Raw genomic sequence first — 18,110 nt, forward strand, 5'->3', positions numbered from 1 at the left:
TATAAACTTTTGGGAAGCCCATTACAATTCAGATGGACCTTCTGAAATGTAGCATTCCACCTGATGGCTAATCCCAGATATTAACGTCCATTACTCCATTCGATTTCCATTCACCCCTTCTAATGTGTTTGTGTACTGCTTGCTGACAACTGTAGTATGTTTGTAGTACAAACAGTACTTTGCATTTTTGAATTTGGGGTTTAAATCTGTTCAGGCTCTCTCATGTGGCTGGAATGTTGGCATGGCTCAGAAAACAAAAGTCAACTTAAAAAAAAGTTGGTTCCTCCAGGAAGAGAGATGGCTATCAAGCTTGACAAATGCACTGTAATGTGAACAGGGCAGCAGGGTTAATTCTGTTAAGTGATTGCTATAGGCCTTTGCTTGTCTTGGACTTTTGGCCTTTTGCTGCAAACAGGGTGGGCCTTGTTAAACTGCCAAGTTGACAATTTTATATCCAAAGGCTTTTGACAGTTTTATATCCAAGGCTTTGCTTTTCTGTTGTGATTTTTCAACAGGAAAGCTCAAAGTGCTCTGGGGATTTTCATCTCTGAGTCCATGATAACACTTAGAAAACTCAATAGATCGTTGTTTGTTGAATCTGAGCATAAAAATTAGGTTCTAAGAGAAAGAAAAATCATTTTATAAAAACATAGATTTGGATATCACAGTGTGCTCTGCTAATTTCTTTTGGCTGGTGCTTTTTGTTGTTGTTGTTTAAAGTTTACATGGAATCTCTGTTTCCACTGAACCATCTCAGACACTGAAACACAAAGCTGGGTTACAACCTAATCCGCAATGTGGGGTTATCTTCCTACTGTTGGGGCATTTTCCAACTGGGTAAGGATCTGAGCACTATAGAGATGTATACTGAGCTCTTATATTACCTTGTCTGTATCAGACTTAACTGAGACACAGATAAGTTAAAAAGTAGCCCGCAAATCCTAGGACCTAGCACCCTACAATCTAAGAGCTAAAATCATTGTCTCTTGGACATAAATCAGCAAACTTCATTCAGCACATGTTAAGTACCTGCCATATGTTAACCCTCTACTAACCATGTGTTACATACTGTGAAAAAAAAAAGAAGTCACAGTTGAAGGTTTCTAGAAGGTTTCTAAAAGTTACCTGATCTGCCAATCATCTCCATCAGAACCCTCAGGTAAGCTTGTGTATTAAGCAGATTCCTGAATCCCACCCCAGATCTACTTGATTGGAGGAGGGGGCTAAATTTGCATTTTTTTATAAGCTTCTCCCAAATGATGCTTATGAGTAATGTTTGAGAACTATTCTAGACTCAGGATTCTCAAACCTGGCTGCACATTTGAATCACCTAGTGAATTTAAGACCACCAATGACCTAGTACCACAGCAGACCAATTAAATCAGACCCTCTGGGGTAAGGGGGAGCCTGAGCATCAGTCATTGTTGTTGTTGTTGCTGCTGTTGTTGTTGTCGTTGTTAAGTCCACATGTAACTCTAATGGGCATCCAAGGCTGTGAACCATGGTTCTAGACTTTAGGTTCTATCAGAATTTACGACAGGAAGAAATCACTCCTATCTGAAGTGGTCAGATACTACCTTTGATTTCCTCTCATATCTTGCAAAAGACTTCATGTTCTCTTTGAAAAGTGTGTGTGTATGAGTTTGTTATTGTTTTAAAAATTACATATTTATATAGCACCCATGCAAGAAACAGTTTTTACAGATAGCACATAATTTCATTTGTCTTCAATTCATCTACTGTAATGTAATTAGAAGAAAAACGTATTAGTATTCCAATTATAGATAAAGCAAAAGATTAGTACTCCGCCTGAGATCACACAACAAATTCATTCTAAAATTCTGACTTCACTGGAGTTGCTTCCCAGAAATAAAAAAAGAGAGAGAGAGATAGAGAGTCTTTGAACAGTCCTAGTTGAAATGTAGCCTATTCAATACTAAAAATTATTCAAATAAGTAGTCCATCCACACTCCATAATGGACAGTCTTCCTCTTGGCTTTTTTGTTGTTGTTATTATAAAGAAGGGAATATCCTAAAGGGTCAATAATCCTCCTTCTATTTCTCCATTTTTCTGTCTCCATAAGGCAACATCACTGAATGTATTAATGGGCTTGCTCAGTTAGGGTTTTTAATCCCTCCCAGTTTGCCCAGAATGTTCTCAGTTTTAGTACTGAAAGTCCTGTGCCCAGTTAACCCGTCTTGGGCAAACCTGGACAGTCCCTATCAGCAGTGGAAATAAACACTGCTTTGAAGATCTATGCAGGAATGGGAGTTTAAGGTTAGTTAGGAAGATCAGCCAGGCCAGCAATGGGCAGGGAGTGGGACAATCTAAAGATCCATGAAGGTGGGCAGACTTGGCTTCAGGCTTTGAAGTCTAGCTGGGAAGGCACAGTGCATGACCCAGGGAAGGGGCTCTCAAACTTGAGTGTGTATTACAACCCCCTGGAGGGCTTGTTAGAACACAAATTGCTGGGCACCACCTCCAGAGTTCCTGATTCAGTAGGTCTGGAGAGGGGCCTAGAATTTGCATTTCTAACACATTCCCATGTAATGCTGATGCTGTTGGTCCCAGGATCACGCCTTGAGAACCACTGCTCTAGGTGCTAGTCTAGACTTTCAGCTGAGCATAAGTAATAGGTGTGAAGGTGATGTCTTGGCACTAGGGAGCTAGCAGGCCACATTAGGCAGAGATATGAGCTAGGGACCAAAGGCAGGACTCAAAGCACTGAGCAAATGTGAGCTAACATGGCAGGACCAGGCTAAGAGGATCTGGAGTACTAGGCAGATAAACAAAACAGGAGCTCCATCTTAAAGAAGTATGACCAAGATCTTTCTACTGGATGTGGGTGCAAGGTGTGGTGTTGGCCTTAGGAACAAGGCAAAATTCAATGCGTAAGCAATCATTGAGGAGCACAGACTTAATGGTCAGTCACTGGAGTTCCTGAATTAGGAATTTTAAAGATCCCCTGACAACCATAAAAGTTGGGTGACCAACTATTCTAGTTTTCCCAGGAATTTCCCTACTTCAGCACTGAAAGTGCAGGGCCTAGAAACCCCTCAGTCCTAAGACATCTGGTCACCCTAATTGTGCTCTTAGAAGACTACAGCCTAGATCCACCTACATCTCTGGGTCAGTTGGCTCCAGCCATAAGGAAAGAAAGCACACATGAGAAGAGGAGGAGCCAGCTGGAAAACGAGGCAGAGAGCCAGGATGCTCATTGCAACCTATAGCCTTCAAGAGAGGATAAAAGGGCACCCAGAAATATTGTCTATAAATGCTGAAATGCATTTGCTTTAAATGGGCAAAACACGTTAAATGACTCCTCAGGCCTGCAGCTTTTCTAAACTCATGAAAGTGGAAAAGTTCAGCACAAACAGAACCATCCAGACACCCCGTAGATGGAAGTCTCTCTCACTGCCTTTTGACAGTCATCACACACACTTAAGATCTCATTGTAAGTATAGCCTTAAAGAGCCCTGATAAGTACACATCAGTAGGGGAACTAAAACCCATCTGTAAATATTAGCAGAGTCTCCCATGTTCTTTTGGTTTCCTTCACACACAAAAATAAGCTAAGTGGAATGAACACACAGTTCAAAATGACTAAAACACTAAAGGACATTTAAATCTGGGGAAAGAATCTCTCTGTTGGGAATATGGATTTCACCTAAGATCCTTAGTGTCATTCCCAGCATGCCAGAGTTATTTCAAATCTCTTTCATAACCAAATATTAATATTCCACCAGAATGGGGAGCATGAGGGCCACTATTGACAGGAACACAGCCTACTAATCATGAGAGATGTTTAAGATGTTCTTCACTAACGTTATCCACAGACTGTATAAAAATAATAACAGAAAACGTTTAACAGTAACAAGGATCATCACCAGGGAAAGTACCTAAACCATCACAAAATCCGAAAGCAAACACTGAACTAATCCATCCTCCCAGCAACTAACTCCTGCAAAATGCTGCTTATGTAGAAATAATCTTCTCAATCACACTTAAAATATTCACTATGATAATGAACTTTAGCCGCAGTGAATTGAGTGTCCCAATGTGCTGAGTCTTCATGATCAAGGAGAACCTGGCATAACCAGCATCTTCAAAATGCAAGTACCCTATGTCCTTCTGGAATGAGCCATGTCATCCAGTAAGTAGGCTGAAACAGAGGGATCCGACGAGGAGACTCTCCCAGAGCTGAAGTGGGAGTTCAGAGCAGAGTGGAGAAGATTGAAAATCTCCCAGATAACCTGGGAGAAAATGCCAGAAGAAACAGGAATTTGCCCATCCATTCAATCTTTCATTCAACAGATAGTTATGATGTGCCATCTCAATGCCAGACCCCATGCTAGGCAGAAAGGCTACAAAGTCTAATGGAACTGCTTTATAGGTATTTGTAATCAAATAGAACAAGCAGACAAATTAACAAGTAATTGCAGTACCTCTAAGACGTTTTATAATAAAAGGATATATGCAACCTCAGAGAAGCACAGATGAGAGAGAATTTTCCCCAGCCTTGTATTATTCTCAGTGCAACTAACTGTCTTTGATACCACAGTTAAGTCCTTCCTTCTCAGAAGCTTCTTCTTTGAGTCACTTTTGGGAAAAAAATAATTATTGCTTTTCTGAGAGATCAGAGTCTCATCAAATGTTATTGTGATTCTAAGACTGTCAACAGCTACCATTTAGTGATACCTACTATGTGCCAGGCACTACACTGAGTGTTTTGCACACATTACTCCACTCAATCCTCAGCCCTGCGTAACAAGCAGCATGCTCTCTCCACTTTAGAAATCAAGGGGAAATGAATCACAGTGGGATTAACTAGTTTACCCTCAGTCTGTCAATGATGGGGCAAGAAGTGAACACAGACAGTCCACTTCATGTTCAAGATCTTAACCACTATGTTGAAATCACTTATGTAGTGAACTATTAGAATGTCTATATTGATTATTTGTATTCTACTGTTATAATTGCATGCATCTAGTTTTTGCTTTGATGAGTTCTTACAAGAAATTGCATGCTGCTTTTAATACTTCCTTATTTGAGTTGATAATTTGCAACCATTTTATTTGAACCTATCTCTGTGGGACTTAACCACAACAGCTGCAATTTATTGAAAACTTGCTCTGAGCCAGTATATATCATCTCTGTCAATTCCCATAGTTCTCTGAGGGGTATGTATGTAGGTATGTGCATATACTTATATTCTTATATATGTATATGTAATGTAGAGTATCAGGTAACTTACCCCTTGTAGCTTAGGCTACAAGTCCTCCACTAGCATAGGCTTTTCTAAGGTTCCAGAAAGGGTTCTTAGAAACATGTTTGCATGTTCATACATTTTCTTATCTATTTTTGAAAGAGTATTTCGAAACTGATATAAGCGTAAGACCCACAAAGCCTGCAGACTACAGGTGATGGAAACAGGATTTGTGTGCAGATGTGCCCAACTCCAAGGGTTTAAAACCCCGTGACACAGTAAGTAAGGAGGAAGGGGTGGAGCAGTGGGATTTAGATGCACATGTTGGGCTTATCATGAGAGATTTCAAGCTAAGGAAAGAGGGGAGTTGATTTGAGGGGCTTTTCTCCTCTAAAGTGACCTTGAAGCCCTCATTTTAATGCTTCATGTGCCAACAAGAAGTAGAGAATGTAGGTAACTCTAATACGAATGAGGCTCTAAGAACTACTAGGTGAACACTCATAATAGTGGCACCAGTTCCGAACAACACATTTGTAAATAAATTGAAGCAGCCTTCAGTTTTTTCTAAACTAAGAAGCTACTAGACACTAAGCAGGTCAAACAGACCAAAGGCACTTTGGTGACACTTAGCTTAGGTAGCCCTTCGACTGCCAATCCATCATTATCTGAAAGTTCTGCATTGACCAACTGCTGTCAGAAAATGTTCCCTTTCTTCCAGAAATTCCATGCCAGCTCACCTTCCAAAAGTTTCCAGTGGGCTTGTTGATCTTTCACCCAAATAGCCACCTAACACTTTACGAATATCCATCTCTGTGAAGAAACCGACTCAGCTGCAACAACCTGTTTTTTTTAATTCATTAAGCCTTAGAATAGCATCTTTCTTAGTAAAATATAAATGCAATATTTAATAAAACTATATATACAGTGATTATTATAAGCAGGGAGAGGACAGGCTGAAAATGAGTGATTTTAACAAGAGCTTTAACAATTTTTAATAGACCTGCATTCCTTTACATTCCTGGTGTTTCTCAAACTTTAGTGGGTTTAAAGTTCATCTGGGGATTTATAAAAATTGCTGACTTCAAGAGCTCCTCTTAAAATTTCTAATTCTGAAGGCCTGGAGGGATCCTCAACAATCTTCATTTTTAACGATTTTGATGAAGATGGACTGCAGCTGTCTCTTGAGAAATGCTTCTTTAGAACAAGTGAAATTGCTAATTACACAGTAAGCACTTAGTCATCTACCATTACCCAAGTCTTGTTAGTTGTGAGTTGCCCCTTGGTATCTGCTAAGGTTTGAATGTGTCCCTCAGAAAGCATATGTTGGAAACTTAACCTTTAATGCAACAGTGTTTGTTGGGAGGTAGGTTCCAATGAGAGGTAATTAGAACATGAGGGCTCTGCATTTATGAATAGATGAATGTGTGGAAGTAGGTTCCTTATAAAATAAGGTCAGTCACCTTTCCTCTCTCCCATCCTCTTTTTGCCCTCTGACATCCTATGCCTTTCACCATGAGATGACACAGCAAGAAGGTCCCTGATAGATACCAGTGCTTCAATCTTGGACTTCCCAACTAAAGAACTATGAACCAATAAATTTCTGTTCATTACAAATTATCCAGTCTCAGGTATTCTGTTACAGCTGCACAAAACAGACTAAGGCAGTATCCCATTCTCAGCTGCAGCAATTCTTTTTAAGACAAAACTCCATGGATTTTAAGACATCTGAGTAGGGAGAGTTAATTATGTCCTCTCAAAGAGGTATTTTCCCTAGACCAATTAGTTTACAAGAACATACACTCTGTTTCTAAAACTTTGGAAAACAAAGATGTGGTTCATATCAGAGTGAAAATTTCATTGATACCCATTATAATGAACGTGTTTCATTTTGGCAAACTGTCATGAAATGTCCTGTTCATTTGGAGAAAATTCCTGGAAAGATGGTAGGCAGAGGTCCCAACTCCCAATACGGAATCCTAAGAGGGAGAAGATCTGTCTGCTCCCAGTCAGAGAAGGGTGGGCTCTTCCTACACTAAGATCTTAGCCACATTTTGTCTCCCTGAATTCTTGCCAGAGACTAGTCCTCCAGGCTGAGAGTATATCTTATATCTGTATAATTAGATAACAATTATGTTATCTAAAACTGAGAACCCTGGGTATGGTACATCCAGACACTTACGGCAGAAAATATTTGATATGGTTTGGCTCTGTGTCCCCACTCAAATCTCATGTCAAACTGTAATTCCCAATGTTGGGGGAGGGATCTGGTGGGAGGTAATTGGATCATGGGGGCAGATTTCTCCCTTGCTCTTGCGATAGTAAGTTCTCACGAGATCTGATAAATGTTTAAAGGTGTGTGGCACTTCCCCCCCTTCACTCTCTCTCTCTTTCTACCATGGTGAGACGTGCTTGCTTCCCCTTCACCTTCTGCCATGACGGTAAGTTTCCTGAGACCTTCCAGCCATGCTTCCTGTACAGCCTATGGAACTGTGAGTCAATTAAACCTCTTTCTTCATAAATTATCCAGGTCAGGTAGTTCTTTATAGCAGTGTGAGAACAGACTCTACAATATCTTCAAAATGTTGTTTATTTTTTAAAAAAATGTATGGATGGAGGCCAGGCGCGTGGCTCACGCCTGTAATCCCAGCACTTTGGGAGACCAAGGTGGGCAGATCATGAGGTCAAGAGATCAAGACCATTCTGGCTAACATGGTGAAACACTGTCTCTACTAAAAATACAAAAAATTAGCCGGGCATGGTGGCAGGCGCATGCAATCCCAGCTACTTGGGAGGCTGAGGCAGGAGAATCGCTTGAACCCAGGAGGAGGAAGTTGCAGTGAGCCAAGTTCGTGCCACTGCACTCCAGCCTGGGTGACAGAGCAAGACTCCATCTTTAAAAAAAAAAAAAAAAAAGAATGGTATCAGAAAGAATAGAAGGTGAAAGGAAGAAAGGAAATGGAAAATTAGTATTCTATCCATCTGTAGAAAATTTTTTAAAATATGTATTGTCTTTTATTCTGATTTCTTCTGGATTCCACTTTGTAGATTTATGAGCCCAGGACCACTGGTATTCAGTAAAGGAGTAGAAATCAATTTGTAGGGGCAGGAGGGATGCCATGTGTCATAGCTACGCAAACAGAAGAAACTTAGTGATTAAAACTCACAAAAAAGAACAGTATTAGCTGGGAGCTATGGCTCATGCTTATAATCCCAGCACTTTGGGAGGCCGAGGTGGGTGGATCACTTGAGGTCAGCAGTTCAAGACCAGCCTGGCCAAGATGGCGAAACCCCCGTCTCTACTAAAAATACAAAAATTAGCTGGGCGTGGTAGCGGGCGCCTGTAATCCCAGCTACTCAGGAGGCTGAGGCAGGAGAATCACTTGAACCTGGGAGGCAGAGTTGCAGGGAGCCAAGAACATGCCACTGTACTCCAGCCTGGGTGACAGAGCGAGACTCTATCTCAAAAAGAAAGAAAAGAACGAAAGAAAGAAAGAAAGAAAGAAAGAAAGAAAGAAAGAAAGAAAGAAAGAAAGAAAGAAAGAAGGAAAGAAGGAAAGAAGGAAAGAAGGAAAGAAGGAAAGAAGGAAAGAAAGAAAGAAGGAAAGAAGGAAAGAAGGAAAGAAGGAAAGAAGGAAAGAAGGAAAGAAGGAAGGAAAGAAAGAAAGAAAGAAAGAAAGAAAGAAAGAAAGAAAGAAAGAAAGAAGGAAGGAAGGAAGGAAGGAAGGAAGGAAGGAAGGAAGGAAGGAAGGAAGGAAAGAAAGAAAGAAAGAAAGAAAGAAAGAAAGAAAGAAACAGTATCACCTTTCAAACAGTGATGGGTCCCTAATACCTATATGCTGAGTATTGTCACACTCATGTTCCATAGCTGTTTGTATTCTGTGTCATTTTTACTATACGTACACAAGACAGAAAACAAAAAACACTGTTTAATTCAGATTTTGTAAGGTATATAGTATAACTGTTTACTAAAATATCATATTTGTAGGAGGTGAAAGTTAATATACTAGCAAACTGCTAAAGAGAATTAACTATTTTTTTAACAAGGAATGTATATTTATGTAGCACTCTCAGACTTTAAAAGCACCATTACTGTACATAAAGCTTTTGATTTGCAGTTTTTCATCATAAACCCAACAGAGCAGAGCCCAGACACCAGGCATTTTTCCCTGGAGTCACTCTGCCTTATTATCAGGACTGGACTTAAGTATCCTTCCCTGGAAAGGGCAAAAGATCTCACATTGTAGGGCAAATATGCTTGAGGCAGTACAAAGAGGCACAGTCATGTTTCAGGATGTGGTTTTAGCCAAAGGTGATACAATCACAAAGCTGGGTTGAGAGAGGAAATAACAATCAGGAGCAGTCTTGAGTGTGTCTCTGTTACCTGGAGTCTTCTTGTTCTTCTCTCTACCTCTCCAAGAGTCTCCATTACCATTGATGTAAATAATTAGTAATAAGAGCCGGAAGCAAAAATGTTGAAATACTTTAACTCTTTTGAACACAAATTTAATAGCAGTAGTAAACTAACAAATGAATCATTGAATTGAGGGTGGATTCTGCTGCAACAAAGAACTTGTATTATGATATAAATTGAGAAGATTGTTCTGATCTAGCTCCTCCTGTATTCAGAGTTAAAACTCTCTCTAAACATCATGTTCCACCTAAGAACCATTAACTCTCCCATTCTCACAACCTGTGTGACAAATACTCATACTCTAAATATTTGGCTTATCTCACTTATCCATTGCTAGAGGATTTAACATACAAGTGTTGCCCTACATACAGACTACTAAGTTAACCATAACCATTCGTGTATTGATACGTATGTTCAAACAGCAATGATGAACTGAGTGCCTGCTCTGAAGGAACTCAAATTCAGATTCAGCTAATATTTCTGGAGTAACACCCATGCACTAGGTATTGAGCTAAAGACTTTGTCTTATTTAGGTGCCTATCATGTGCTAGGTGTTGAACTAGTTACTTTAACACATTATCTCATTTGGTCTTCATAACAACCTAGTAGGTCGGCATTTTTTATTTTATAGATAGGAGACTAACACTCAGAAAAGGTGAGTGACTTGCCTGAAGTCATAAAATTAGTCAAGACTTAAAACTGGCTTTTTGGTCCTGAGTCTTCTCTCTGGCTCTTTCTAATTGGTAGTATTGTCTGTCTTAGGTCCACGCTTTTACTATCCTCTTCTATGCAAAAGAATATCTGATCAGAAAGAAACAAAGCCACTTATAGTTTGATTAGAAAGAAATAAAACCGCACAGAATTTTAGCCACCTTTGTCTATGGGCTGATAGCTTTGTGCACACAAGGCCAAGCAACCACAGGCTCCAGAGATGTGATGTGGAGATGTGCCAAGTGGCAGGTGACATCACATCTTTACATTCCTAGAAGTACTGTGCCCTAATAATTTTACAGCAGAGACATAAACAGATGGATGTGACAAATCCAGTAATGGCAGTTACATAATCTCAAGATCTTTCTCAATGACTCTAAGAACATGTCCAAGACCAAGAATGACTTACCAGGTACATGCCAGTGCTTTAACTAAACAGAAACTATTTTTCAACTAAACAAACATAAATTACATTATCCCTCCTTTTTGGCTCTACCATTTTGAAATTTCTAACTTTGTGAGGTTTTTAACTTAAAAATGTTTTTCCAAATTTATGGAAAGAGGCCACATATGCCCACGTTTAGGGAAAAGTATGGACTTCAGAGTTACAAGCTCAGGTTTGGACAAGGCCAGGCAAGGTTGGACTGAATCCTGCCTCTATCGTTTTCTCACTACATTTGCAGTGAGTCACTAAATTTTTTTAAGTCTCTGCTTCCTCATCTGTAAAATGGGTATAGCAACGATATCTACCTGTGCAGAAAAGAGTTAACTCAGCAGGGCTGAATTGTTCAAACCTTGCACATTCCCAAGAAAGGCCTGTTTTCATGACTGCTCTTTGACCAGCTTCTGGGAATTAAACTGTTAGAATGTTCCAAGAACTAAGAGTATTTTTCTCACATGGGTTCTTGAGCCATACTATACCAGTTTGTCTGCATACGTGTGCAACGTGGTTTATGCTTGCTTCTGGGAGCCTGGAGCTTCAATGGCACAAGTCATGTGCCTATGTGAATGATCCCCAACAAAAACCCTAGACTCGCTCAATCATGGCAGATGGGAGGTAGGACTAGATTGCAACTCCAGACAGAGCAGTGTGCAAGGTCTTGCATTGTGAATTTTAGCTCCAGATCAACTGCAAGAACAAACCAGCAATCCTGAGAGGACCCACAGACCCTCTGAAGGAAGCAGACAGCTCCTACAGGACCTGGGAGACCCCCCAAAACTGTGAGTGCCCCAACCTTGGAAGCAGAAAATGGAGACCCTCCTTTCCTGAACTCACACTCCCACTGGAGAAGCTGAAGGTCTGTTTGCAGGAGAATTTTCTTACTTTACCTGAAGCTGAGTCAATCTAGAGAGCTGAGTGAAATTCAGGGGCAGAGGAAGTGGCAGAAAGGCTCTGGGAACTCACTGGCTCCCCTAGCAGGCCATTCCTGCCTGTCACCACAGGGATCCAACAGGAGAGGAGCAGGGGATAAAACTACACAAGGAGAAGGAAATCTCTAGCTGAACTATGTAACAATTAGAACGGGGGTTGAAGCCTCCTGGCCAGAACTCAGGGGAGGGCACAAATCCGGCATGCAGACTCCAAAGGCAAGGGAAGACCCAAGCCCCTTTCTTTTGTAGCGTGGAGGTGGGTAGACTGAGGCAGGTTTTCAAACCCATATTGCTCTCCACCTGGAAATGAATGGGGATCTGGTGGTGGGGGCATGGTGGGAGTGAGATGGGCCCTTCAGTTCGCACGGGAGCTGGGTGAGGCCTGTAACTGCTGGCTTTCCCCTACTTCCTAGACAACCTGCATGACTCAGCAGAGGCAGCCATAATCCTCCTAGGTACACAACTCCAGTGGCCTGGGAATCTCACCCCCATCCCCCACAGTAGCTGCAGCAAGACCCACCCAAGGAGAGCCTGAATTCAGACAGGCCTAGCCCAGCTCCCACCTGATGGTCCTTCCCTATCCACCCTGGTCACGGAAGACAAAGGGCATATAATCTTGAGAGTTCTAGGGCCCCACCCACCACCAGTTCCTCCCCATACTACTACAGCTAATGCTGTCTGGAAAATGCCACCTCCTGGCAGAAGGTCAACCAGCACAAAAACAGCATTGAACCACCAAAGCAAAGGACCCTCATGGAGTCCATTGCACCCCACGCCCCCTCCACCAGAACAGGCACTGGTATCCATGGCTGAGAGACACATAGATGGTTCACGTAACAGGACACTGTGCAGAAAACCCCCAGTACCAGCCCAGAACTGCGTAGACTCACTGGGTGGCTAGACCCAGAAGACAGACAAAAATCACTGCAGTTCATCTCACAGGAAGTCACATCCATAGGAAAAGGGGGAGAGTACTACATCAAGGGAACAACCCGTGGGAGAACCTGAACAATAGCCTTCAGTCCTAGACCTTCCCTTTGACAGAGCCTACCCAAATGAGAAGGAACCAGAAAACCAACCCAGGTAATACTACAAAACAAGGCTCTTCAACACCCCCAAAAAACCACATTAGTTCACCAGCAATGGATCCAAACCAAGAAGAAATCCCTGATTTACCTGAAAAAGAATTCAGGAGGTTAGTTATTAAGCTAATAAGGGAGGGACCAGAGAAAGGCAAAGTTCAATGCAAGGAAATCCAAAAAATGATACAGGAAGTAAAGGGAGAAATATTCAAGGAAATAGACGGCTTAAAGAAAAACAATCAAAAATTCAGGAAATTTTGGACCACTTTTAGAAATGCAAAATGCTGTGGAAAATCTCAGCAATAGAATTGAACAAGTAGAAGAAAGAAATTCAGAGCTCAATGACATGGTCGTCAAATTAACCCAGTCCAACAAAGACAAAGAAAAAAAAAATGAGAAAATATGAACAAAGCCTCCAAGAAGTCTGGGATTATGCTAAACAACCAAACGTAATAATCAGTGTTCTTGAGAAAAAAGACAATTCTAAAAGCTTGGGAAACATATTTTGGGGAATAATTGAGGAAAACTTCCTCAGCCTTGCTAGAGACATAGACATGTAAATACAAGAAGCACAAAGAACACCTGGGAAATTCATCGCAAAAAGATCTTCACCTAGGCACATTGTCATCAGCTTATCCAAAGTTAAGACGAAGGAAAGAATCTTAAGAGCTGTGAGACAGAAGCACTAGGTAACCTAGCAAGCAAAACCTATCAGATTAACAGCAGATTTCTCAACAGAAACCCTACAAGCTAGAAGGGATTGGGGCCCTATCTTCAGCCTCCTCAAACAAAACAATTATTAGCCAAGAATTCTGTATCCAGAAAAACTAAGCATCATATATGAAGGAAAGATAGTCTTTTTTAGACAAACAAATGCTAAGAGAATTCGCCATTACCAAGCCACCACTACAAGAACTGCTAAAAGGAGCTCTAAATCTTGAAAAAAAATCCTGGAGGAAACACATCAAAACAGAACCTTTTTAAAGCATAAATCACACAGGACCTATAAAACAAAAATACAAGCTAAAAAGCAAAAACAAAAAACAAAAACAAAGTATACAGGCAACAAAGAGCACAATGAATGCAATGGTACCTCACATTTCAATACTAACATTGAATGTAAATGATGTAAATGCTCCACTTAAAAGATACTGAACCACAGAATGGATAAGAACTCACCAACCAACCATCTGCTGCCTTCAGGGGACTCAGCTAACACATAAGGACTCACATAAACTTAAAGTAAAGCGGTTAAAAAAAAAAAGGCATTTCATGCAAATGGAAACCAAAAGTAAGCAGGTGTAAATATTCTTACATCAGACAAAACAAACTTTAAAGTAACAGCAGTTAAAAGAGACAAAGAGAAACATTATATAATGGTAAAAGGCCTTGTCCAACAGGAAAATATCACAATCCTAAACCCTAAATACCACAATCATAAATCTGAAAATATATGCACCTAACACTGGAGCTCTGAAATTTATAAAACAATTACTAATAGACCTAAGAAATGAGATAGACAGCAACACAATAATAGTGGGGGACGTCAGCATTCCACTGACAGCACTAGACAGCTCATTAAGACAGAAAGTCAACAAAGAAACAATGGATTTAAACTATACTTTGGAACAAATGGACTTAACAGATATATACGGAACAGTTCATCCAACAACTGCAGAATACACATTCTATTCAACAACACATAGAACTTTCTCCAAGACAGACCATATAATAGGTCATAAAATGAGCCTTAATAAATTTAAGAAAATTAAAATTATATCAAGCACTCTCTCAGACAACACTGGAATAAAACTGGAAATCAACTCCAAAAGGAATCTTCAAAGCCAGCAAACACATGGAAATTAAATAGCCTGCTCCTTAATGAGCAATGGGTCAAAAATGATATTAAGATGGAAATTTAAAAATTCTTTGAACTGAATGACAATAATGATACCACTTATCAAAACCTCTGGGATACAGCAAAGGCAGTGCTGAGTGGAAAGTTCACATCCCTAAACACGTACATCAAAAAGACTGAAAGAGCACAAACTGACACTCTAAGGTCACACCTAAAGAAACTAGAGAAACAGAACAAACCAAACTCAAACCCAGCAAAGAAAGGAAATAACCAAGATCAGAGCAGAACTAAAGGAAACTGAAACAAAAAAAATACAAAAGATAAATGAACAAAAAGCTGGCTCTTTGAAAAGATAAATAAAATTGATAGACTATTAGCAAGATTAACCAAGAAAAGAAGAAAGAAAATCCAAATAACCTCACTAAGAAATAAAACAGGAGATATTACAACTGACATCACTGAAATATAAAAGATAGTTCAAGGCCACTATGAACACCTTTACACACATAAACTAGAAAACCCAGAATAGATGCATACATTTCTGGAAAAACAAAACCCTCCTAGCTTAAATTAGGAAGAATTAGATACCCTGAACAAAACAATAACAAGCAGCGAGATTGAAATGGCAATTTTAAAACTGCCAACAAAAAAATAGCCCAGGACCTGACAGATTCACAGCAGAATTCTACCAGACATTTAAAGAAAAATTGGTACCAATCCTTTTGACACTATTTCACAAGATAAAGAAAGAAGGAACCATCCCTAATTTGTTCTATAAAGGCAGCATTACCCTAATGCCAAAACCAGGAAAGGACATAACCAAAAAAGAAAACTACAGGACGGGTGCGGTGGCTCACACCTGTAATCCCAGCACTTTGGGAGGCCAAGGTAGGTGGATCACGAGGTCAGGAGATTGAGACCATCCTGGCTAACAAGGTGAAACCCCGTCTCTACTAAAAATACAAAAAATTAGCCGGGCATGGTGGCAGGCGCCTATAGTCCCAGCTACTCTGGAGGCTGAGGCAGGAGAATGGCATGAACCCAGGAGGTGGAGCTTGCAGTGAGCTGAAATAGCGCCACTGCACTCCAGCCTGGGCGACAGAGTGAGACTCTGTCTCAAAATAAAAAAAAAAAGGAAGAAAGAAAACTACATACAGACCAACATCCTTGATGAACACAGATGCTAAAATCCTTAACAAAATACGAACTAACTGAATCCAACAATATATAAAAAAGATCTAGGGCCAGGCACAGTGGCTCACACCTGAAATCCCAGCACTTTGGGAGGCCGAGGCAGGCAGATCACCTGAAGTCGGTAGTTCGAGACCAGCCTGACCAACATGGAGAAACCGTGTCTCTACTAAAAATACAAAATTAGCTGAGCGTGTTGGCGCATGCCTGTAATCCCAGCTACTCGGGAGGCTGAGGCAGAAGAATCGCTTGAACCTGGGAGGCAGAGGTTGTGGTGAGCCGAAATCATGCCATTGCACTCTAGCCTGGGCAACAAGAGCGAAACTCTGAAACTCCGCCTCAAAAAAAAAAAAAAAAAAAAAAAAAATATATATATATATATATATATATATATACATATATATACACAATCTGCCATGATAAAGTGGGTTTCATACCAGGGATTCAGGGATGGTTTAACATATGTGAGTCAATAAATGTGATACAACAGATAAACAGAATTAAAAACGAAAATCACATGATCATTTCAATAGATGCAGAAAAAGCATTCAACAACATCTAGCATCCCTTTATAGTTAAAACTCTCAACAAAATCAGCATACAAGGGACATACCTTAATGTAATAAAAGCCATCTACAACAAACTCACAGCCAACTTAATACTGAATGGTAAAAGTTGAAAGCATTCCCTCTGAGAACAGGAACAAGGCAAGGATGCCCACTCTCACCACTCCTCTTCAACATAGTACTGGATGTCCTGACCAGAGCCATCAGACAAGAGAAAGAAATAAAGCGCATTCAAATCAGTAAAGAGGAAGTCAAACTGTCACTGATTGCTAACAATATGATTGATTACCTTGAAAACCCTAAGGACTCCTCCAGAAAGCTCCTAGAACTGATAAAAGAATTCAGCAAAGTTTCCAGATACAAGATTAATGTACACAAATCAGTGGCTCTTCCATACACCAAGAGCAACCAAGCAGACAATCAAATCAAGAACACAACCCCTTTTACAATAGCTGCAAAAATAAAATACTTAGGAATATACTAACAAAGGAGTCAAAAGACCTCTACAAGGAAAACTATAAAACACTGCTGAAAGAAATCATAGACAACATCAACAAATGGAAACATATCCCATGCTCATGGATAGGCAGAATCAATATTGTGAAAATGACCATACTGCCAAGAGCAATCTACAAATTCAATGCAATCCCCATCAAAATACCACCACCATTCTTCACAGAATTAGAAAAACAATTCCAAAATTCATACAGAACGAAAAAAGAGCCTGCAGAGCCAAAGCAAGACCAAGCAAAAAGAACAAATCTGGAGGCATCACACTATCTGATTTCAAACTATACTATAAGGCCATAGTTACCAAAACAACATGGTACTGGCACAAAAATAGGCACAAAGACCAATGGAACAGAAGAGAGAACCCAGAAATAAACCCAGATACTTACAGCCAAATGATCTTTGACAAAGTAAACAAAAACATAAAGTGGGGAAACGACATTCTTTCAACAAATGGTGCTGGGATAATTGCCTAGCCACATGTAGGAGAATTAAACTGGATCCTCATCTCTCACCTTATGCAAAATCAACTTAAGTTGGATTAAGTCCTTAAACCTAAGACCTGAAACTATAAAAATTCTAGAAGATAACATTGGAAAAACCCTTCTAGACATTGGCTTAGGCAAGGATTTCATAACCAAGAACCCAAAAGCAAATGCAATAAAAACAAACATAAATAGCTGGGACCTAATTAAACTAAAGAGCTTTTGCATTGCAAACGGAACAGTCAGCAGAGTAAGCAGACAACTCACAAGTGGGAGAAAATCTTCACAATCGATACATCTGACAAAGGACTAATATCCAGAATCTACAATGAACTCAAATCACTAAGAAAAACAATCTTATCAAAAAGTGGGATAAAGACATGAATAGACAATTCTCAAAAGAAGATACACAAATGGCCAACAAACGTGAAAAATGCTCAACATTAATGATCAGGGAAATGCAAATCAAAACCACAACGCAATACTACCTCACTCCTGCAAGAATGGCCATAATCAAAAAATCAAAAACAGTAGATACTAGAATGGATGCAGTGAACAGGGAACATTTCTACACTGTTGGTGGGAATGTAAACTAGTACAGCTGCTATGGAAAACAGTATGGAGATTCCTTAAGGAACTAAAAGTAGAAATACCATTTGATCCAGCAATCCCACTACTGAGTATCTACCCAGAGGAAAAGAAGTCATTATTCAAAAAA

The 18,110-nt window shown here is 40.1% G+C and overlaps 1 protein-coding gene across 1 annotated transcript in view, besides 1 other annotated feature; it reads right to left on the reverse strand.

Annotated features, from left to right (window-relative positions):
* Nucleotides 1-18,110, reverse strand: part of HEMK2 (HemK methyltransferase 2, ETF1 glutamine and histone H4 lysine) — a 309,770-nt gene that overhangs the window by 247,178 nt on the left and 44,482 nt on the right. The window lies entirely within an intron of this gene.
* Nucleotides 11,399-12,598: an enhancer, noted in NCBI's record as "MED14-independent group 3 enhancer chr21:30206496-30207695 (GRCh37/hg19 assembly coordinates)". NCBI's record gives its function as "activates an origin of replication core promoter dependent on BRD2, BRD4, P300/CBP and CDK7 cofactors, and independent of MED14, by STARR-seq in HCT116 cells {active_cell/tissue: HCT116}" and the evidence as "EXISTENCE:reporter gene assay evidence [ECO:0000049][PMID:35650434]".

Source organism: Homo sapiens, chromosome 21, assembly GCF_000001405.40.
Source record: "Homo sapiens chromosome 21, GRCh38.p14 Primary Assembly".
Classification (NCBI taxonomy): domain Eukaryota; kingdom Metazoa; phylum Chordata; class Mammalia; order Primates; family Hominidae; genus Homo; species Homo sapiens.